At 41.6% G+C, this 24,900-nt stretch overlaps 1 long non-coding RNA gene and 1 pseudogene across 2 annotated transcripts; one reads left to right on the forward strand and one right to left on the reverse strand.

The window, feature by feature from the left end:
* Positions 1 to 220: 220 nt before the first annotated feature.
* LOC124904436 (uncharacterized) lies at positions 221 to 23,552 on the reverse strand. 2 transcript variants are annotated; one of them, XR_007066682.1, is made up of 4 exons: positions 22,527 to 23,552; positions 19,809 to 19,934; positions 19,181 to 19,299; positions 221 to 1,064 (listed from the first exon to the last, which is right to left on the reverse strand). It is a non-coding gene; the product is annotated as an uncharacterized LOC124904436 (long non-coding RNA). The 2 variants fall into 2 exon arrangements; XR_007066681.1 differs by lacking the exon at positions 221 to 1,064 and having other exon boundaries at positions 17,494 to 19,934.
* Positions 21,866 to 22,360, forward strand: RPL27AP2 (ribosomal protein L27a pseudogene 2; annotated as a pseudogene).
* Positions 23,553 to 24,900: the final 1,348 nt, after the last annotated feature.

Raw genomic sequence — 24,900 nt, forward strand, 5'->3', positions numbered from 1 at the left:
AGCAAAGAGGCATATTTTGGGATGGCATATTGTGGTCTCCTACAGTGATATTTTGGGGTGGTGTGTCCTGAGCCCCATCAAAGTTTATTTTTCTCTCATTATAAGTCTAAAGATAAGCAATCTACAGGTGACAGAAAGTCATCAAGGGCTCTTGGGAGACCAAGACTACTTCTATTTTGCAATAACATTCAACAAGCAACTTCTACGTCATGGTCCAAGATGGCTGCCAGAGTTCTTTTTATTTACATCACAGTTGTCAGAAAGGAGGAAAAGGGGTGAAAAGGAGCATGGCCCCTCTTATTCAGGACCATCCTGAAAGTTACATACAATATTCCTGCTTCTATATCAACAGCCATAGCTAGCAGCAAAAGAAGTTGGGAGACATAGTAATGATTTAGAAGACCCATGAGTCCAGATGAATTTGAAAGTTTATTACTAAAGCTAAAAGAGAGAGGGAACATTGGAATGTCTCTTCCAGACAAGCATAGACCAAAGTATACTTGAGCATTTAGTATAATTTAACATAATATCAAGGTGGCATTTAAAATCATTTAAAAGATGGTCAGATCATTGGCTAAACTTCAGGAGAAAAATTAAGCTAATGTTCCACCTCATTCTTTATATCAAAATAAATTCTAAATGGATTAAAGAGTTGGATTAAAAAAAATGAAATCATAGAAGAACTTTTTCATGCTTCCTTTCAACCAAAGCAACACTAACCCCAGGGTGCTGTTAGTAGGGAACAATCAACTGAAGAGTTGAGTCAAGTTGTATCATCCCAGCACAGCGCAGAAAACCATCTAACATTCAACATCAGACATTCCTTGCCACAAGGAATTCCTCCTTGGCTGCAGTCTTCTGGAGGCTCTACCGGTTTTCACGTGGCCAGAGCTTCTCCCCAGCTCCCCTCTTCTCTCCTCAACCTCTCACCTTCTTTCAACTTCCTGGCCCGTCATCTTCTCCAGTATCTTGAGCTGCCAACAAATAACTCAGTTCCCTCCTGTTTTGCTGTTTTGTGTGGAGTGATTCACTGCTCTGTTAGTCCCACCTCCTCTTTCCATGCCCTGAAAAAGAGGGAGAGGTGTTCACCATTCATGCTTTATCAAGACCATTAAGAATGTTTATAATTTTTAAAAATCTTTCTTGAGATGAATTCTACCATCCTCTTAAAGGCAGGAGCAGCTACAATCCTGTGAGTACATGTGTATAAATATAGGTCTCATTTTCTTCACACTTCATGTTTACATGTGCATACAATTAGAAAAAGGACTGAAAAAGCATACTTTGAAAATATTAACAACACTTCATTCTGATGACTGGGACTACAAGAGCATTTTATTTTCTCTTTGGGCTATTTTTTTTCAAAGCATCCACAATGAGTACACATCAATTTTATATTATAAAAATTATGTTTTTAAGTAATCAGATATAATAAAAAATCATTCTTTCGTTTTGTATTTTTCAAATGTAAATACTATTCACTTAATCTTAGCTTCCTTTGCCCTCAGTTCTCACCAATCAACTTAGAAGAAAAGGCAAATTTATAAATAGGTATAATTAAAGCCTAAAATGTATATTTTAAAGATGTCAACAGGCAAAGAGAAAATAAAAAGCAACTATTAAATAATTCACAACACTAACACTTAGGTTCAAAACACGGATGAAGCCTATCCTGGATTTATACTATGTATTTCCTGGATTTATACCGTGGTTTGCCTTTCAGGAGTATTCAATCAAACTCATAGACATTTGACCAGATTCATGGCTCATGAATTTTAACCACAGATAAAATCTGATAAAATCTATCAACCTTGATGTTTAGTTTTCCAAAAATATTTATGTCAGTCATTCGTCTACATAAAATATGTAAGGGACAATAGACTCCTAGGTTGAGATCAAATATGTAAGTGATGTACATCACTGGTTACAGAGTGTAGTAAGTTGAATAGCATCACCCCCAAAATTCATGTCAGCATGGAACCTCAGAATGTGTCTTTCTTTGGAAATAGAGTCTTTGCAAATATAATTAGTTAAGTCATCAATTTATTGTGAATTTAGAAGAGAATCAGTCTGAAATACACTAGGAAGTCTGATTAATCAATGGAAGATACTGCACAAAGAATTCACAGATGCCATGAAGTTCTCATTGGGGTGCTCCTCCTCTTTGAACAGGGCGGTGGGGGAGGGAACATTTAGCATAATATTCCCTTAAGGAGGAGAGCCATAGAATATAACTGCACATCCTTGGCAGCTCTGCCCAACTGGATGAAAAAGGCTGAAGCCTGAGGAATCAGGATTGATGGGTGACTGAGAAGAAGAAAGTCCAAGAACAGAAAATAATGTGGAGGACATGTCAGTGATAGGAGAAGTGTGCAGACTTTTGAATGGTCTAAGCACTGACCTCATCAATGTTAGGGTCCAGCTAGAGCATCAGCACAGTGTGTGCCAACCTGGATACTAATCCAAGGGCTCATGAATCTAGCTCACCACCAACCGTGCCTGTCTCTGAAGAAAAAGTGCAAATAACTCAGAGCCAGAAGCTGATTTTATATGCAATACCTTCTGCATGGAAAGTATTCAATTCATAAATGATGATCATGTGAAACCTTCCTACCTTCAAAGGAGGCAGAAACTAGTGGCCAGAGGAATAGGCAGATACAGCACCTAACTTTGTTGATAAAGCTCTTCGCCCTGGAAGAGTTTTATGCCAGTTTTACTAATTCAGTGAAGTTACCTGACTCAAGATGATTCCAATCAATTCTCAATTAATCCAAATGATAATGCGGATTATTCCTTTTGTGGATTATTAATACTTTTTTTCCATTCTAGGCAGACTTTTCTCTGTCATCTAGGCAGAACATTTGTGAAATGATGGCTGTGTTCAAGGAACCCAAATTAATTTCATTAATAGCTAAAGAAAAACATAATCCAAGAGATTACAAAGCCTGTTAGAAAAAAATCTACCTACTAAACAGAAAAATATGAAAATAGAGTGTAATAGTTAATAATGATAACAATAACATTTTGTTTTTATTAAACAAACATTATTAAAAGATATTGGTAGCATAACTGTGGTTTCTAAGCACGCTCATATCATGGTTTTTCTGTTCATCAGGTCTCTGTGACAGAGATGAGGTGGGGCATACACTATATTCCTTCTTTCCTGGCCTTGAATGTGGAGTCATTTCATTTATGTGAAGAAATGCTGACGTTGCAGACAGCCCCATCTTCCCAGTGTTCCCCCAATCTTTCTGGGGAACTTCCATTTGCTAGGGAGAGCTGCATGCCTTCCTATCTGGGACACTGGACATAGATTTTCCTGGCTCTGGGACTCTCTGGGCCAAGGTCTGAATGAGGATAAGGTGAAGGAGGCATCACTTTTCAAAATTTAAGGGAGTGCTACAGTTTACTCTCTCTTCTTGGGCTGGGACATCTATCTGCTGCTGCCTTTGGAAATTGGAGCTCCTGGTCCTCAGGCCTTTAGACTCTAGGACTTGACACCAGCAGTTCCCCACCCCATCCCCAACCCCAAGCTCCAGTTCTCAGACTTTTGGTCTTGGACCGTTACACCATCGGCTCTCCTGGTTCTCAGGCCTCTGGACTTGAACTGAATTACACCACTGGCTTACCTGGTTCTCCAGCTTGCAAACAGCATATCATGGAATTTTTTGGCCTCTATAGTCACACGAGCTAATTCTCATAATAAATCTCCTCTCATGCATCTATATGTGTCCTATTGGCTCTGTTTCTCTGGAGAATCCTGAATAATACAACCAGCCACCCCATGGCAACTCTTGCCTATATACACCCGATTCTCATTGCCACCAGAGGGAACTTCAACATGCAATCATGCAAATTTGATCACGTTATTCATTAACAAAATTTTCATAGCTTCCCAATGCTCTTGCGATATGGACCACACCTCTTACTGTGGCCTACAAGACCCTGCAGGATCTGCCATCTTCCCATCTATCCAGAATCATCTCATACCAAGCTCCCTTATTCTTTCCCTTCTGGCTATATTGGCCTTCTTTCAGATCCCCCAGAATGCAGTGTTCCCTCCTGACACAGGACCTTTGCACAGGCTGTTTTCTCCACCTGACATGGCCTCCCTTCTTCCCCCTCACCCTCACATCTTCCATGTGCCCTTGGCTCTTCTTCAGATCTCAGCATTATTGCTCCTCTCTCAAAGGAGGGTTTCCTGACTGCCTAGATTAGGCCCGAGTACTGCAATTGCTAATTTTTTGTGTCAACTTGAAGGGTGTTTTTGGTTTTCATGTATTTATTTTTTTAATTTTTTTTTTAAGAGAGGGTCTCACCCTTTCCTGGCTTGTGTGCAGTGGTATAATCTTGACTGACCGCAGCCTTGACCTCTGGGCTCAAATGATCCTCCCACCTTAGCCTCCCAAGTAGCTTGGACTACAGGCATATACCACTACTCTTGGCTTTTTTTTCTATTTTTTGTAGGATGGGGTTTTGCCATGTTGGTCAGACTGGTCTTGAACTTCTGAGCTCAAGCAATCTGCCCACCTCAGCCTCCCAAAATGCTGGGATTACAGGCATGCGCCACTGCACCCAGGCTTGAAGGGTGTTTTTGGATGAGATTAGCATTTAAATCAATACACTTTGGGTAAGGCAGGGTGACCTCCATAATGTGGGTGCATCTCATCCAATCAGTTGAAGGCCTCAATCGAATAAAAAGACTGGCTATCCTGAGCGAGAGGGAATTCTCCAAAAGACAGCCTTCATACTGGAGCTGGAACCTTGGCTTTCCTGGGTCTCCAGGTGCTGGCCTTCAGAATAGAACTATATTGTAGATTTGGACTTGCCAGTCTCCATAGTCATGAGAGCCATTTCCTTATCATAAATTTCTCTCCCTATATCTACATATGTGTATACACACACACACACACACACACTCACACATCCTCTTTGTTCTGTTTCTCTGGAGAACCCTGCCTAATGGGTACCTACTAGGAGCTCTTATAACATTGTGTTTGTCCTCATCATAGCATGAGTCTTTGCTTATAGGCTCTAAATTTCATGGTTGCATGATTAGTGCCTGTTTTTCCCCTCACTCTTATATCCCAAATGCCTAGCTCTGTTCCTGGCTTACCAAGCAGGCTGTTGGTAAATATGCATTTAATACATAATACATCAGGATAAACCTTGCACTCATGGAGCTCAGTGTAGTGGGAAAAGACGGCAAGTTATTGGGCCCTTTTAGTGCACGATGACAGAGGCCTTTACTGCAAGCACAGTAACCACATGCCACAACAATGAGGCTCCTGACCCAAGGTATGGGGCAGGAATAGGCCACAAAAGTCTCTCTGAAGGAGGTAACACCTGACCTGTACCTTAAAGAACAAGCAGGAGTTGACCACAAGGCATAGGGAAGGGAAGTGTGCTGGGAAGGGAAGGAGGAGCAGCCTGTGCAGAGGCGAAAGGCTCCACCCTGGGCAAATCGCCTCAACCAGAACCCAGCAGGGGCACCTTCCTAGAACAAGACCTGGACCAGCTCTCTCATCTCCTTGGGGCTGGAGGCGCAAGAGCAGGAGGAGTTGGGAAGCTCCTCCCATCCTTGCACCCCACCACCCACTCACCACCATGCACCTGGGAGCCACAAGCCTGTAATCTGCACTGACTGCCAGTGATCTTAGGTTCTTATCATTTCCTACTCATAATTGCCTTCTAACAGGCCTCCTTGCTTCCAGCTCTCATCTCCCCACCTCTCCCAGACTCAATCTTTGTATAATTCAAGTCTGGTCTTGTCTCTCCCCTGAGGAAATCTTGCAGTTCCTCTCCAATCCTTCCTTTAGTAGGGGGATGCCTGGCTCTTGGTCATAACCAGAAGCCCTGCCTCTCTCCATTCTTCTTTCTTTCCATTCCCCATCCTGTCCCCTAAGCTCTTGCCTTTTCAAGGGCCGGCAGTCCTGAGTGCCTCTGGGTTTTGATGGCACCAGAGCTTTACATGTTCCTCCCTGACTTCCCACTTGGCCGATTCCTGTGTTCCCTTGGAATCCCACCTTCCCTGTCTTGAGGCCCACCCTGCCCCTGCACACACCTCTCCCAGCAGCTGTCCCCTTCCTGGGCAGGCCTTAGCCCAGCATTTGTCACTGCGTGCCAGTAGTCTTTTTTCTTTTTTTTTTTCTCTCCCAACAGACTTTGAGCTCCTTGAAGGCAGAGACCATATATTACTCATCTTTGTGTCCCCTGACCTGACTCCATAAGGACTAAAAGATGAAGCCATAAATCAGCATAGGAATGATAGAGTAACATCTCCCCTGCTGCCCCCCCAGAGTCAGCCAGTAAAGGGACCCACCCACCAGCCAGAGAGCAAGATCAGCATGGTGTCCTCAGGGCACAAGGCACCCCAGGAGTTAAATAACCAAAGCCATCACCTAATCCTAAGAGACTAACATGATGGATGCAGCCTGTTCGCCAAGAGGCAGGTAGGAGTGGTGTTGGCCCCAGAAAAGCCAGACCGTATCTGTACACATGCATCCCCATTATTCCCTCCGTTGAGAGGCACACCTGCCACCTCCATCCCCCCTCCACAGCCAAGGTCTCTCCAGGCTCACTGTTGGCCCCAGCTGTCAGGAGTGACTGTTAGACTTCTGCCCCTGCTCCACTGCTGCCCCTCTCTCTGGGGCTGGATGGGTGCATGGCACCAAAGCTCTTGAGGGCAGAGCCTCCCCAACCCCATCTTCCCATCCCACCCCATGAGTCTCACAGGTGTTTCACTGGATGGCAGGGGATGCTGGTCGACTGCCCAGTGCCACCAGATGGCCGTGTTCTAGCCTGCTTCACTTGCCCTCTCTCTTCCCAGAAGGAAGCCCTCAAAGACGCCAGGCCAAGGGTCCAGGCGCCATCCCTAAGCAACCAGGCAATCATATCTGGGAGTGCCAGAACACACTGTCACTGGAGAGAGAAAAGCCACAGACTGGAAACCTAGCTTTCTTCTCTTGCCTGTCAGAAAGTGTCCTCTGAGTTACCAGCAAGCCTGCTCTTTTCCCAGAGGGTGATCTCTTTTCTCCCCTCATGTTCAGGCAGAGATACCTGCTTGGAAGTCTCAGAGTTCCTCCAATGGTAACTTTCCAAGGAGGGAAAAGTCGACCCGCACTACTACTTAGCCTGAAACATAGCTCTCCCTAGGCCTAGATGGGGAGGAATCATGCAGCCTGCCCACCCTGTGTTTTCCAATCCAGACCTATGACATTTTATAGGCAGCAAGACATTTTACAGACTGCAAGCGAGGCGAATAAAACGGCCTGTTTTTGAAGATTTGGGAAGCAGGTAAAAGTCTAGGAGCTTGGCAGCTATGAGGTCAGAAAGGTCTTTGTACAAACAGTTTTGTAACTTAAAATAATTCCTACACTCCCAGGTCACCTCCCATATAGTCAGTCAGAGCCCAGGTGAGCTAAACCTTCACCCTACTCTCTGGGTTATCGTGTGTCCCAGGCCCGAGGCCGAGTTTGCCTTCAGCAACTCCCTCTTCCTCCAACTTTCTCCCTCATCCCCCTCTCCCCTTACAGTAAACTTAGGACTCCACATTTTTTGGAAGTGTAGCTCAGGTCACATTATAATTTTCATGGGCCTTAGCTACTCTGGCCTTAGAGAGCCTCACCTCCATAATTTTTTTTTTTTTTTTTTTTTTTTTTTGTGACAGGATCTCGCTCTGTCACCCAGGCTGGAGTGCATTGGTGCCATCATAGCTCACTGCAGCCTTGAACTCCTGTGCTCAAGCAATTCTCCTGCCTCAGCCTCCCATGTATCTGGGATTACAGGTGCCTGCCATCACACCTGGCTAATTTTTTTTTTTAATTTTTAATTTTTATTTTTGTAGAGATGGAGTCTGGCTGTTTCCCAGGCAAAATGTAATGTAAGCTGGATTCCTTATTATATTCATTATTCTTATATTTATTTTTTCTTTGTATTTCAAAAGAACTTAAAATTAAAACATTTTCATGGGTACCAGTAAGTATCATGGCCCCAGATGGTGTGCCTCCTGAATGGGTAGTTGGCCCAGATGTAACTCACAGCACCCCACCTGCTCAGAAGATGCACAAACCTGCCTGCGCCCTCTGTCGGCAGCAGCAGTAGAGGCCTTCAACCTCTACTTCAAAGTGTAGACCCACAACACTTTGAATTATTCTTTCAGCTAACAATTTATCAGAGCAACCGACATCATAAGGTCAAGTATTCATGAATTCCCACTCCATTAAAGCCTTCACTTAGCAGCCTATACATGTATTCGGTGAATATGAATGTTCCCAATGAAAATATTTGCCTAATAAATGAATCGACTAAATCAAAACATTAAAACTGTGTGGTTGAAAAGTTATGAAAACATCCATATTTAATTATTAAATTATATTTTAACTACATCAATCAAATCATTACTTAAACACATCATTTGCTGAAATTTTGCACACTTATTCTAGAATACTTTTATAAACAGAAAAAAATAAAGATAAAAGTTTCAAATAAACTGGATTATTTAGCCTGCTAAATTACAAAGTGAAGGGTTATTTTGTATTTCATCAGTTTGATAAATTTGAATAGGGACATATCACATTTCCCCAAGTGGGGAGGGACACACCTGTAAAAGATTTAGAACAGGCATGTCTTGTTTTACATAAATACTTGTATTATGAAATTGTAAAACATAATCAGAGAACCAAATAACTTGGCCTCTTAAGTCCCATTTTTAAAATGGAAACTTGGACTAGTTAGTACTTTCCAAGCATTTTTAGTTATAAAAATGCCTTCGTAAAGTGAAATGGTCATAGTTAATAATGACAGTTAATCTTTGTGTTTTCACATATCGTCTCATTTCATCCTTACAACACCATATGATCAGTGTCATTATGTTACAGCTGAGGGAAGTGGGGCTAGACGAGGTTAAATAACATACTCAAGATCAGACAGCTAATGAATGAACCAGAACTCAGACCCAGTTGTGTTGAACTTCAAATCTCATGCCCTTCAATCCCTCAGACTCCTCTCTATGAAGTGGAAGGGGAGGTTTTGCCAATTGAATAGAAGTTAGGGGCTCCTCACAGCCCCACTAACTCCACTTCTCATCCAGGGAACTCAACTTGAAAAACATCCCTTTTTTCCTATCAAAAAAGATTTCAAGTAAGAGTTTTGCCTTTATAGCAGGTCGAATAACTCTTGATTTGATAAAACTTTTATCAAGCTTAAGATACAATTTTTAAAATTCTCATAGTTCTTTTGTGTCTCCCAAACAGATCCAGTGATTCCCAGAAGTCTGCAGACCCCACCCCAATTAAGAAATTCAAGCAAATTTCAGACAGGTGGCCACATGCACAATAATATGGCATATAGTGACATCTATTGGTCAATTGTGATATTGCATCCAACTTCCTTTCACAGGAAATTTAACAGGAGCTGGTTGATGTGGAATTATACTAGTCTCAGGTATAAATCAAAATAAGAAAAATTCCTTTCATACAGAGAAAGCAGAAGGGAGATCTTGGAATCTCCATGTTCAGTTAAAGGTCTGAGTCCTAGTCCTGATTTTACCATAAATAACTTGGTATAGACTTGGTTAAGTCACTTGGTCTCAGGAGCCTCATCTTCAATCAAACAGGGTCACGCCCTCTCAGAGGCCCTCAAAACACTAAAGGACACCCTCAGGGCCCTCTAGGAAAGGCAGAGTCAAGTGAGTGTGGCTACTGTCTTCACTCCCACATCTAGGCACATCTATTATTATCTTTTCATAAGCGAATTTTCTTCTTAAAAGTTTCAAAAATATTCTGTTTCTACTATTCGGACCTGGTCAGCCCATGTCAACATTTACTGTACCCCGCACATTTTAGGGTCCTGTACTAAATCTATTCTTGTTTAGTTTTGTTTTGTTTTACAGACAGGGTCTCACTCTGTCGCCCAGGCTGGAGTGCAATGGCACGATCACAGCTCATTGCAGCCTCAAACTCCTGGGCTCAAGCAATCTTCCCACTTTGACCTCCCAAGTAGCTAGGATTACAGGCATGAGCCACCAGGTCAGTCCGATGTACTGAATCTTTGTAATCTACAAAAATAGGAATCTAGCTCCCTTCCCTTTAAGAACTTACAATTTAGTTGTGGAATAAAACAAACACATCATCTACTCATTCTTTAACTAAGCATTTTTGTCAAATCAATTGGAAGATTTTCTTCCATGAGATCATATCTCTGATTTTATAAAACAAGTCAATGAGAGAGAGAAAATTCTTTTTATAGTCAATCTTGCTGGAAGGCATCTTTACCATAAAATAAATGTTTCAGGAGTCTCTTGGGAAGAATTCATGATGCAGTTGAGATCCACTGTCATCACTATGTAACAGTGTTCCTTCTCATGGGAATTGGATGAGATTAAGAGACTTTGTGAATATTCTCTGTTGTGCTTAAGCAAAGTTTATAAGGCTCTTGGTGTCCCAACCAAGAATACAGGCTTTGTATAGGCAAGAAGGGGAGGCATAAGATATCTGTAAATTTCCCACTAAAAGCTCATCTTCACTTAGAAACCAAATTGTTTGATTATTAAGCATTTCTATTCAAGAATAGAGAGAAATTTACTCCTCAATGATCCAAATAAGGTAATAATGTCATAAATAATGATTGATTAAGCACTTACTCTAGCCCTGAAACTCTCCTAACAGTTTTACCTCATTTAATTTTCACATCTCTAAAAAGTACATTCTATTTTTATCATCATTTTAGAGAAGAGGAAACTGAGGCACAGAGTTATAAAATAACTGAGGAAGTTATGATTAGCTAACTCCACTGATCCAGATTGCCTGCCCTTGCGAAAGTTGTAAAAGGAGGTCATAACAGTACCCCTCCCCCACAGGCTACCGGTTACCCCCAAGGACTTTGCTGTAGGCACAGCCTGCACCCAGCTCTGGGCTCAGGGACTTTCTGGACAATTGCACAAGGTCAGGAGTGGCATGGGCAATGCCTGAATAATTGCCCAGCCTTTTATGTTAGAAAAAAAAGAAAAGAAAAAGAAAGTGAAGTTCTTTAGGCCTGTCTCTGTCTCATAGCACTCTGCATAATCTGTCTTATTGTGGTCAAAATGCAATATGTACACTACTTTAGAAGCTTATCAAATCAGAGATGTTCTCTTGCTCAGGTTGGGCCCGACTGAATGATATCGGGGCAAAGTGATGAGAGTTTCAAGACTCCAACAGACATAAAAGAATAAAAGAGTTATTTCATTGTCCCATTTTTCCTCTACCCTAGAAAGTCCAAGAAACACTTGATTGTAATGTGTACAGTTTCCAGATTTTGACCGAAGATAAAGTTATTTTCAAATATCTGAGAAATCTAAGACCACGTTCCCTACCCTACCTTCCCCCTGTCCTCAAGTTAAAGACCCATGGACCACAGCCAAGCCCCTGGGCAAAGCTGGATAACTCTCAAAGGGGAAGTATTCTGACCTTTCAATTATATTCCCGAGAATGAGGATGATAAGCTTGAGTCCCCCAATCATAACTCACTGCCATCTTAGACCTGCTGAATGGACAGGTCTGCTCTGACAGATAGATTATGAGGCACGCAAAGAACAAAGAACCTTTCTCTGAGGAATTTCATAATCACTGTGTCTTTTCTTCTCCTTCCTTTAACATGTGTAATTTATCTTCTCTTGGAAAGGTGCATATAAATTTTAATGCAATTTGCTTAAGAACAATTAACAAAGTCACAATTTGAGAATCCTATTTGTTTCCCAGGAGAAAGGGAAACATCTGAACTGCATGCTGAGTACTAAGGAGACTTCAGGCCCTTAAAGAGGAATTTAACTAGAAGGTATCCCTGATTTGTCAGGCCCTTAAGACAATAAAACATATCTGTGTGATCATAAGACAGCCCCATCCTTCAACACTGACTAAAAAGCCTTAGGTGACATTGAACAAGCAGGCACATATCTCAGGACTTCAAGATTAGAGAGATGGAGCCCTCCATCTCTAGTCAAATAAAACACTAGTCACAGAATTTCTGTAAAGGAAGAGTATTAAGGACATTGTCCAATCTCCAGTTCTACGTACTTTCCCCTTCCACAATGTGTTTGGCAAATGGTCAGACTCCCTTTCTATTGTCCAGAGGCTAGGAGGAAAAGATTATCTTATTCCACATTAGAAACAAATGCTTATCCCCCAGGTGGCTATAAATCCCAGGTGGCATTCAGGTAGTTTCCCTTGTAACCTGCTGATGCAGCTGAAATTTTCTCAAGTATGGATTGGAAAAAAGAAGCTGCCTATCCATCTCTACCCTCCTTGCTAGGCTCTGGGAGGCATGCTGAATGCACAAAAGGCCCACTTTTCAACTTGAGAGTCAATACAAGTGGAATAGCCAGTGTTTCCAATTCAGCATGACAATCTGAGTCAATGCATTTAACACTCTCCCTTCGTAACTTGCAGCTGAAATGACCTATGCAAAAGAAGAGGACAAACACTCCACTCCTTGGTGTGACGGGACCAGAGATGAGTGACGATCATAAGACTGTCATTTTGTTGAGGGCAGTGTCAAATTCAAACTCCACCACCACCTTGAGAAGGAAACAGGTGCTGGAGCTCTCAAGGAGGGCCGGGTGGTCCCAGGGATGCTCAAGACTTGTTCACAGCACAGAAGGCATGGAGAATGGAGCAGAGGTTCTGATGAGGTTTGCTCTTGGGGAGGGCCGCCATGCTGGCTGGAGGGGTACTGCTGCCTGCCCCGGTGGGCTTCAGCTGCTGTGACAATCCCAGGAGGAGCCCTTCAGCCAGAGATGAGGCTGCCTACCTATGGCCACCTCTCTTCTTACTTCTCATACACCAAGACACTTCTAAGGTGGTTAAGGTCAACAAAATATAAACTTATTTCCTGTGCCAAGACTGAAAGGCTTTCACAGGGATGCATAATCTCTGAGAGAACACTTACCCATTCCCATGCTGGACAGGCATAAGCCTCCCATTGTAAGGATGAGAAAATGGAGGAAAATGACCACATATAGAAATAATGGGGCCAATATGAGGAGTGCCAGACAAACTTAATAAAATAATATTTATCTGGATTTATTCTAGCAAATTAGATTAAGAAGGATATTATTAGGGTTTATTAAGTAGTGTTAGACATTGGTAGGATTCATAATAAAAATACATACATGGCTTAAACTATGTGAAGCATATAAACCCTTAGAAAAATCTCTTATTATAATGTATTAAATTTAGAGAAGTCACAGGATAATATCAATAGATATTGAAGAGTCATTTGGTCTGATGAAATTCCACATATATTACTGATATTAATACAAAATCAAAACATCAGAGAACTATAAAAAGTATACTTCCTTGACACAATAAAAAAATGCTTACTTCATACCTAAAAGTCAAGCACAAGGGGCATTCCCATTAAAATTAGGTACCGTATAAAGATGCCTGCTATTATGAGCCTTGTGTTAGTCAAGGTTCTTCAGAGAAACAGAGCCAGTAGGATATGAGAGGGGATTTATGAGGGAATTGGCTGCTCACATGACCACAGAGGCAAAGTCCCACGACCAGCCACCTGTAAGCTAAAGAGAACCAGGGAACTCAGAACCAGGGAAGCTGACCGTGCAGCCTCCAGTCTGGGGCCAAAGGCCTGAGAGCCCTGGGAGGTCACTGGTGCAAGTCCCAGAGTCCAAAAGCCAAAGAACCTGGAGCCTGATGTCCAAGGGCAAGAGGAGGAAAAGCCTCCCACTCCAGAGGAAAGACAGCAGAGACAGAGAATCTGCTGTCTTTCTCCTGTTTGTTCCAACCAGGCCCCCAACCAGTTGGACAATGCCTGCCCCCATCGAGGGCAAGTCTTCTTCTCTCAGTCCACTGACTCACCCACCAATCTCTCCTGGAAACAGACACACCCAGAAACAAACCAGCCATTTAGGCATCTCTCAATCTCCTCATGTTAAAAATTAAAGTTAAAATTAACAGTCATAACGATTATTCAAAATGTGAGAAATTTTTAGGCAACTGTAATAAGGCGAGAAGAAAGAATTAGAAAGTATATATTTTGGAAAGAGAAGATAAAATTATAATTTTTTGCATGATGATATAATTACTTGAAACCCCAAGAAAATTAGCCACAAAACAGTTAGTACTAATTAGAGAATTCGTGTAATGTGTCCAATTGCAAAATAAATATACAAAACTTAATAGCATCCTGAAATGCCTTCAGGGATTAGGCAGACAACAAAAATGAATAAAGTACACTGGTGGGGACCTTTCCTGATGATGGGAAGCAATTGCCTCCCAGCTCCTGCACATTTTTGTCAAGGGAGACTGTGAGTCTAGAGTTGCCAGATATTCTGATTTTTAAGGAGAATTTGTAAAAACAGATTCTTGTATAAAACTTTCTGATTTTTAGATGCAGATAACTAATTCAAAAATATTCTGAACTAAATATATTCATAGGCTAGATATGGCCATGGGCCTCCAGTGTGCAACTTTTGATCAGTGCTTCCCTTTATAATTAATCTGCAAATATAGCAGAAGTAATGTGAAATGGTATAAAAAATTGATTAATCTTTGAATAGTGAATCATTTGAAATAAATTAAATTAAATTTCTACTTCTTGTATTATACCAAATAAAGTCTACAGGGTAATGATTTAAAGCAAAAAATGGAACTAAACAAGCAGTAGAAAATATATATATAGGAAAGTATTTATATAATTTCAAGTTGGGAAATGCTTTCTCAAAAATAACAAAAGAAAATATTTGCAAACTATTCATTTGACAAGGGACTAATATCTAAAATATACAAGAAACTCAACTCAATACCAAAAAAAAACAAATAATTATATTAAAAGTGGGCAAAGAATCGGAATAGACATTTCTCAAAAGGAGACATACAAATACACAATAAGTATATTTTTTAAATGCTTAACACCACTAATTAGGGAAATGCAAGTCAAAATCACAATGAGATATCACCTTATCCCAGTTAGAATAGCTATTATCAGGGAAAAAAACAAATGCTGACAAGGATGTGGAGAAGGGGAACTGTTATACACTGTTGGCGGGAATGTAAGTTAGCATAGTTACTACGATAAGAGTATGAAGATTTCTCGAAAAACTTAAAGTAGACCTACCATGCAATCCAGCAATTCCACTACTGGGTATTTATCCAAAGGAAAGGAAATCAGTGTATCAAAGGGGTATCTGCACTCCTATATTTAATGTAGGACTATTCACAATAGCATAGATATGGAAGCAAACTGTGTCCATCAAGGGGAAAATGGATAAAGAAAATGTATATATACACAATGGAATACTATTTGGCCATAAAAAACGGGATGAAATCCTATTATTTGCAGCAACATGGATGGAACTAGAGGTCATTATGTCGAGTGAAATAAACCAAGCACAGAAAGACAAATCACTCATATGTGAGAGCTAAAAAATTTGATCGCAGGGAGTTAGAGAGTAGAATGATAGATACCAGAGGGCGGGAAGGGTGTGTATGTGGATGGGGGGGATGAAAAGAGGTTGATTAATGAGTAAAAACAAACACTTAGACGAAAGGAAAAAGCTGTAAAGTTTGATAGCAGAGTGAGGTGACTATAGTTAACAACAATACCTTGTATATTTCAAAATAGCTGGGAGAGAAGACTTGAAATGTTCCCAATACAAAGAAATGATAAATGTTTGAGGTGGTGAATATCCTAAATGCCCTGACTTGATCACTACACATTCCATGCATGTATCAAAATAGCACTTGTACCCTATAAATACATACAAATATGTATCAAAAAATAATGTCTACAATAACAACATTTTAAAAATAGCAACAGAGAAATCACAAAAAGAAAAACTGGCCTAAATTACATATATTTTTTAACCATTTCAGATCAAAAAATAAAAGGCCAATGGCAGACTAGAAAAAATATTTAAAACACATAGACTCAATATCCATTTATAGAGATACTGGTCCTACAAATCAATAACAAGCATCTTCAGAGAATATTGAGTACAGGATATAGAAAAGCAAGTCATTAAATTAGAAATGCCAATAGCTAACAAGTGTAAGACAAAAACATTCAACCTCACAAGTAATCAAATAAATACAAATTAAACCACTGATGAGATACCATTTTCCCTATTGATTTGACAAACATTTTTGAAATTGTTTTTGAGACCCAGTGTTAACAAAGGCATTTATTTTTGGTAGAAGTGGACATTAATTCAGCCTGTAGAAAAATTTGGCAATATGCGTCAGAACTCTTTGACTCAGCAAGTCTACTTCTCAAAGTTTAGACTAAGGAAATAGGAATATACTGTATACAAGGATTTAATTGCAAGGATATCATTATTTTTTTGAAGCATTGTCTCACTCTGTCACCCAGGCTGGAGTGCAGTGGTACAATCATAGCTCACTGCAGCCTTATCTCCCAGGCTCAGTCTCCCAAGTAGCTGCGACTACAGGTACACACCAGCATGCCTGGCTAATTTTTGTTTTTTAATAGAGACAAGGTATCCGTATGTTTCCCAGGCTGGTCTCAAACTTCTGACCTCAAGCAATCCTCTTGTCTCAGCCTCCCAAAGCGCTGGGATTACAAGCGTGAGCCACCACAGCCAGCCAGGATGGCATTATTGACACACTAGCAGAACACAAAAACAAAAACAAAAACCAGAAACAATGCGAACACTGATAAATAGCTAAATTCGTACATTCATACTGTGAAATTCTTGGCGGTCATTTAAAGTCTGTAGAAAGTCTTGAAGAATATTTATTATTATTAAAAGATAGGGGCCCAGCTGGGCACGTTGGCTCACGCCTATAATCCCAGCACTTTGGGATGCCAAGGCAGGTGGATCACTTGAGGCCAGGAGTTTGAGACCAGCCTGGCCAACATGGTGAAACCCCATCTCCACTAAAAATACAAAAATTAGCTGGGCATGGTGGTGTATGCCTGTGATCTCAGCTACTCAGGGGGCTGAGGCAGGAGAATCACTTGAACCCGGGAGGTGGAGGTTCCAGTGAGCAGAAATCGGGCCACTGCACTCCAGCCTAAGTGACAGAGTGAGACTCTGTCGAAAGAAAGAAAGAGAGAGAGAGAGAGGGAGGGAGAGAGGGAGGGAGGAAGGAAGGAAAGATAGGGACTGGGTGCAGTGGCTCACTCATGTAATCCCAGCACTTTGGGAGGCTGAGACAGGCAGATTACTTGAGCCCAGGAGTGTGAGACCCCCCTTGGCAACATGGTGAAATGCCATCTCTCAAAAAAAACAAAAAACAAAAAAACAAAAACAAAAACAAAACTTAGCTGGGTATGGTGGCGCACACCTGTAATCCCAGCTGCCTGACACGCTGAGGTGGGAGGAACACCTGAGCCCAGGAGGTTGAGGCTGCAGTGAGCTATGATTGTGCCACTACACTCCAGCCTGGGTGACAGAATAAGATCCTGTCTCCAAAAAAAAAAAAAAGAAAAAAAGAAAAAGAAAAGAAAGAAAGAAAGATAGTCACAATACATTGCTAAGTTTTTTTTAAGTTTATTTTAAATTAAAATGAATAGTATGACTCCAAACTCTACAGTATATATACAATGATCTGGAAGAATACAACCTTAGATATTAACAGTGGTTATCCCTGGATGGTGGAGTTATGATTATTGTGTTCCAAATTTCCTATTTAAAAATTTTGCTTCTGTTTTACTATAAGGAACATATTGTTTTGATAACAAGTAAGATTTTTATTTTTACTTAAAAAATAAAGCTGGGGTCCTCAGGTGGACTAACTGACTGTTACAGTTACTTAGCTATATTAGAAAGAGCTGGACATAGTTCTTATGGCTGTTTACTCTGTGTGTGTGTGTGTGTAAATATATATACCATATATAATCAGTAAGCCTACCTTTCTACTTATGTTTTGCTTGGACTGCTTTAAACCAAACGCATATGCCAAAAGCCAATAAAGAGATCCACCCCAGACATATGCAAAATACTACAAGAGAGCTTAGGCAGGCTTTAATTTAACAATTAAAGGATTGTTAAAATTAAAATTTTATTGCAAATAATCTACAAAGCTGCATGTAGTTTATTAGAGTTGCCTATAAGTATCTGGTTTATCTATGACCACTTAATATAGTTAATGGACCTTATGCAAATATATACAGGCTCAAAAAGAGACTTAATGGCAGACTTGGCCTTCCTTCCATGCCCAGTTAACAGGGGATGGCTCCCAGCCCCTCAAACACACAGAAAGATAAAACTAGAGAGATTTTGCCAACAATTTAAGCAAGGAAAAATCTAGAGCTGCAAAGTGTGTAACATTTACTAGACTACTATGAGAATAGATTCATAAACAACACAAGTGTCCAAAATAAACTATCATATAGAGAAATTACAAACATCTATAAAGAACTATAAATTAAGAGCCCAAACTTTGGCCGGGTGCAGTGGCTTACACCTGTAATCCTAACACTCTGGGAGGCTGAAGCAGGAGGATAGCTTGAGCCTAGGAGTTTGAAACCAGCCTGGGCAACAAAGTGAGACCTCATCTCTACAAAAAATCAAAAAACAAAAATTAGACAGGCATGGCAGCATGCACCTGTGGTCTTAACCACTTGGGAGGCTGAGGCAGGAGGATCGCTTGAGCCCAGGAGGTCAAGGCTGAAGTTAGCCATAATGGTATCACTGCACTCCACTCCAGCCTGGGCAACAGAGTGAGACTCTGTCTCAAAAAAAATAAAAAAAAAAATCCCACACTTTAAAAATAATACAGCATTTCTCTGACTTAACTGACTTCTCCCCAGTTTCCTTTGCCCATTGCTGCCCAGCTAGATTATCTAATATTACAGTGCCCAGAGCTCGGTCTTAGGCCCCCCAAGCAATCCCACCCAGGCCCTTGTCTTTAAGCAACATTTATAATCTGGTGATTCCCAAATATATATCTGACTGTCCCTCTGACTTCCTCACTAAGACTGCTGACATCTCACACTTGACACGATCGATTCCAAACCGTCTTCCTCCCTAAAACTACTCCTTCCATCAGTCTTCATAATTCAGTGAAGAACATTACCATCCATCTAGTTGCCCAAGCCAAAAGCCTAGCACCCACTTTGGATTTCCCTTTTCTTTTCCCTGACACCAAATCCGTCAACAAGTTCTGCCAGTTCTCTCCCCAAGATACAAAAATGCATGCTGAATCAACCCACTTCTTACCATCTCTAGTACTGTCACTCTTATTCAAGCCTTCACAGAATCCATTCTCCATTGAGCAGCTGGAGTGTTTTTCAAAAAATGTAATTCATATCTGCTTAAATCTCTTCAGTGGCTTTCGGCTGCACATAGGAAAATAAACAAGCAAACAAAAAAAAAAACCTCTGAACTTCTCACCATGATGCAATCAAGCCTCTGAATGCCCTTCTTCTACTCTTTACTCCTTGCAGATAATTCTCTAGCCACAAGAGCCTTTTCTATTTCTGGGATGCCAAGTTCATCCTACCTGAAGGCCACTGCACTTTTTGTTCCCTTTGCCTGAAAGTCCCCCACTCTATTCCTACCCAAACCCTATTAATTAGTTTTTAAAATATTAAGAAATTGTGAATGTGCCTTGAGAGCATGCTGCGTGTAAGTGGCAATCAGAAGACTTGGGTATTAGTCTCGCACACTTTTCAAGATAGGACACCTGCTCTAAACCAATATGATAATGACTTTGGTCAACAACCAAGGTGATTCCTTGGCTCATGATTTCCCCTTCTCTGGTACAAGTCCCAACAGCTAACTCCTCTCTTGTTAATTTAAAACCCAAATATAGAGATCTGGAAACGAGGTCACTGGAGTTGGTCACCTGCTGTGGAAGTCCCCAAACTGTCCAATTTCTTGCCTCCCCAGACTTCCTTGTTCAGTTCTTTCCTAGGGATTTATGGATTGTCCAGTATCCTTTAAGTCCTTTAGCTAAAGTTGGTTTCTGTAACTTAAAATTGAAAAGAACGTTAGAAGAATCCCTTCTTAATTGTCTGGTTAGCTTCCTAGAACTCAGCTTTACAGAACCATTCTCTTAGTATTGGCTACCCCAGGGCATCTGTGGAATCTAAACTCAGCATGGATATTGACATATGTAGAACAACTTAATATTCATCTTCCCCACCTCATATTCATGCGTGCACATGCATGCGTGTGCACACACACATATTCTCTCTCTCTCTCTCTCCCCCTTTCTCTCCCCACACTGCATTCTTTCCAAGTCCTCTCATCACCCTTTGTACTTTTCTCCAGCATCCACCAGGCTGGATTTGTTCTGCCTTGATGTTTTCTCACAGTTCATCCTTCCACTGCATGCTGGGCTCCCAATATTTGTTATAAAATTAGGAACCTTATTTATGTATGTAAAGAGGCCTTCTGCATGCACAATCAATAAATGTGAGCTCAAAATGAACCCTTTCTCTCCTACGAGGCACTCACTTCCCTTGCCTTTCCTGGGTTATCTTCTATTTCATTGTCCCTGGTAGCTATGTTCTAATCACCAAGGCAGGGGTTTTACTTTTTGGAGGTCAGAGAACCCTTTGAATGCTACAGACACATTTTACAGAAAAAATGCACACAAATACACACACATTTTGCACACAACCAAGGTTTATGGGCTTCTGATTAAAACCACTTTACCAAGGAAAAGACTTCTGTGACCATCCGCCACCCCCATACACACACACCACTAATTCCTACCCTTCACTAGCAGTGACTCATCCATGCCTTTGCTGCCAGACACCAGTAAAATAAACCTGGTTCCTCTCTCCTAATATTTGTTATGTTGAGAGATAGAAAAACAAAAACACAAAGCATCCCCAACAATTATAGGCAGTTACACTTAAGACCCATTAAAAGTGTCCCCCATTAGAACACTTCCCCAAGGCAAACACTTTATAATTTCCTAGATTACTAGTTTAATGCACAAGTTACGTTTTAAATGCTTTTCTTTACAGGGAGGCATTCTTGGACCCTGGCTGAGATTAGGAAACAGCCAAGGCTTAGCAGCACACTTACCAAGAATTTCTTAGGTGGGTTATTTTCTGGGAAGATTATCACAGTGAATAATCTCATCTATTTTACTGTCAATTTCAGAGGGTGACATTTTTGGCCCTGTTCTCAGTTCTAGAGATATTGTCAAGTTGAAACTTGCAGCTTCTTATATGCTAACTCTATCTTCTAATTAGAAAAGAGGTTAGAAAATGCTGGAGCTTTCTGGGTTGCCTTCCCCAAGCTAAATTAGAGTCTACTGAAGAAAAGGAAAGGTGGAGAAGAGACAGAAGGACCGGGTGGATGCAGTAGAGTAAGAACCATACGATCAAAGGCAGGTCAGGGACTAGACAGAATAGTCTTTCTATCCTACCAATGCCAGTGGCTCATGAATGGCCCCAAGCCCCTAGGACTTCTCTTAAGCCCAATCTGACTCCCCATGGGGTCATGGATGCATTTATTTTGTCTGATGAATTGCTTTTCATTAGAGTCAACATGGAATAGAGCAGGATTTCTCAATGTAATAGAATGAAAGTCTGTGTCCTCCAAAATTTCAAATGTTGAAAACTAGGATCCCTTTCTTGCCTCCACTTCCTTGTTAGCAGGGACCCTAAGCTCTACTCCCATTGCCCTCAGCCACCCACCCTCAACCTTGATCGGGACCTCCAGGCCGCACCTGACCGTCAGCAGGGCAGTGCAGCTCAGGTGGGTCCAGGGCGGAGCCCTGTTCAGCCTGAGATTCGGGTCTCGAAGACACATGGGCCCCTCAACTTTGCCAAATGCTCCAGATGGCAGGTCCTTGGCCCACAGGCCTACAGGCCCATCTCAGGCTGGCAAGCATCGCCCCTGCTCCTTCTTCCTTAGGCCTTACCACTAAGCTTCTTTTTCCACACAGCCATCCAGACTGAGGAAATGTAGTCACCACAGGACCCAGAAATTTTGGAGCCAGGTGAGCCACAGCCTCTGCCGCATCAGCAAGCACTGAAAGCACCCAGGTGGCCGTGGCAATGCTGGCGGCATGCATCACCACAGGATCGACTTCAGCAAATGTCACCCAGGTTACTTTAGGAAAGTTGGTATGAGGCATTACCACCTAAAGAGGAACCTGAGCTTCTACCCAGCTGTCAACCTTGACAAATTGTGGGCTTTGGTCAGGAAGCAGACACAGGTGAATGCTGCTAAAAACAAGCCTGGAACAGCTCCCATCACTGATGTGGTGCCATCGGGCTACTATAGAGTTCTGGGAAGGGAAAAGTTCCCAAACCAGCCTGTCATCGTGAAGGCCAAATTCTTCAGCAGAAGAGCTCAGGAGAAGATTCAGTGGGGGGAGCTTTCTCCTGGTGGCTTGAAGTCACATAACAGGAGGTTCATTAAATGTTAACAACTGCTTTAAAGAGAAAAGGAAAGGGAAAGGGAAGGAAAGGAAATAAAACTAACCCCCAAGGTAGTGGTATTAGAAGGTGGAGACTTTGGGAAGTGACTAGGTCATGAGGGTAGAGTCTTCCTGAAGGGGATTAGCGCCCTTACAAAAGAGACTGGTGAGTTTTCTTACCCGTTCCATCATGTGAAGACAAAAACAGAAGATGGCTATCTATGAACCAGGAAGTATCCCTCACCAGACATCAAATCTGCTGGCACCTTGATCTCGGACTTCCTGGCCTCCAGAACTGTGAGAAATGAATTTCTGTTATTTATAAACTATCCAGTCTATGCTATTTTATTACAGCAGCTCAAACAGATGAAGACACTGAACCTTGGCACTACTGGCATTCAGGGCCAGATAATTCTTTGTTGTGGGGCTTTTCTGTGCATTGGAAGATGCCTAGCAGCACACCTGACCTGTACCCACTAGACGCCAGTAACATCCCCATTATAATAACCAAGAATATCTCCAGACATTGCCAAATGTCCCCAGAAAGGGGGGACAAAATTGTCCCTGTCTGAGAATCACACAAGAGAGGAAAGTTTTGGAGTCAGACAGACCTAGGTTCCAACTTTAGTTCCATTCCTCACAAACCCATAACCTTTGTGGGTGGGGAGAGAGGTAAGTATTTATGTCCTCTGCGACTGTTTCTTATTAGCAAATAATACTTAAATCAAAAAAATTGTTTTGAGGTTTAAATGAGATGATGTGTGAAAAGCATATAGGCTTACAATAGGTGCTCAATAAACAGTTGTTCCCTCCCCATACCTACTTCACTTATTTAACAAACATTTATTGAGCACTTATGCTGTATACTAAGGATATAAACACAAAACAGTAAATCTGAGAGAAAGAGACAAATGCACAAATAACCATAACATATCAAGTCCATTAACAGAGTTTACCAAATGTTACAACTCTGGCCCTATCTTTCTTTTTTTCCCCCTTAATGGCTAACCTTCTCTCTCCAAAAGCTCATCTGGCATTCCTCTTGAAAGAGGAAGTGTCCTATGAGTTGGGTCCTGAAAAACGAGTGACAGGTCATCTGAAGGCCAGGAGAGAAATATGCACACTAGGCAGAAAAAACAGCATAGGCAGGCTGGGCGCAGTGGCTCATGCCTGTAATCCCAGCATTTTGGGATGCCAAGGCAGGCAGATCACTTGAGGTCAGGAGTTCAAGACCAGCCTGGCCAACATCGCGAAACCCCCATCTCTACTAAAAATACAAAAAAATTAGCTGGGCATGGTGCCGCGTGCCTGTAATCTCAGCTACTTAGGAGGCTGAGGCATGAGAATCAACTTGAGCCTGGGAGGCAGAGGTTGTAGTGAGCCGAGTGTATGCCACTGCACTCCATCCTGGGCGACAGAGTGAGACTCTGTCTCAAAACACACACACACACACACACACACACAAACCCAGCATGGGCAAAGGCTTAATAGTGTGGTAACTTCAGGAAACTGCATTATCCAGTAGGCTAGAGTGAGGCTGAGTAGGGGAAATTGGTGCAAGATGGAGGATGCTAAGGAATTTGGACGTCTTTCTGCAGGTCACATAGTCCCCCAGGATGCTTTTTTTCAGAATGGTGGCAGGATCAGATCTGCTTTGGAAAGCACACTCTCGCAGCACTGGGGAGGATAAATGAGAGGTGGAATGAAGGGCGAGAGAGATGAAAAGCAACAAGACCAGTCAGGAGCTATCGATTCCAGATGGGAGATAATGAGGGCCTGAAATGTAGTACTGGAAATGACAATGGCAAGATGCCAGCAGGCTCCAGGGTCATTAAAAGGTAGAACTGACAGAATTTAGTGACTGATTAGATGTGGGGCGGGTAACAAGTGAAGGAGAAGAAGGAATAGGAGGTGATTATAAGATTCTAGCTTAGAAAATTAGGTGGATACTGATGGCATTTAGAAATGACAGGCACTGAGAAACTGTTTTCTCTTCTTTTTCACAGCCCCTGCCATTCACACTGTGCAAAGGAGCCTGTCAATCACTGACTGATTTTAAGCAGGAAAGTTTCAAAGAAAGCCCCCAGTACTTACCAATGTTAAAGAAAAACAGGTAAGATAACAAACATCTCAGTACCTAGTATATATCAGGTTCTGCACTAGTTTTGTCCAATTAATGTATTAGTGAACTACTTTAGGTGTATTTTACTCTAGCTACTGATTTATAACTGAGTTATAATCCTCTTTCCACCAGTCTCCTATGGCACTGGTGAGTTCCTTAAAGGCAGGACTCTAGTCTTAACCATCCTTATACCCCCAGGCTAGCTGAGTGCTTGGCACAAAGTAGGCTCCTAAGTATTTACTAGATGAATGAATCATTGGTTGGACAACGTTGTTCCTGAACTCCCTGCTTTCTAGAATCCAGTGGTTCATCTTCTGTTCACCATAGCTAAATGATAAGGGTAGTACAGAGAAATGAGTAGTACATTTAGCTCCAGAAGATCTAGGGTCTATTCCTGCCTCACATACTAACTCTGACCTTGGGCAAAGTGCA

This window comes from Homo sapiens, chromosome 1 (genome assembly GCF_000001405.40).
Source record: "Homo sapiens chromosome 1, GRCh38.p14 Primary Assembly".
Taxonomy (NCBI): domain Eukaryota; kingdom Metazoa; phylum Chordata; class Mammalia; order Primates; family Hominidae; genus Homo; species Homo sapiens.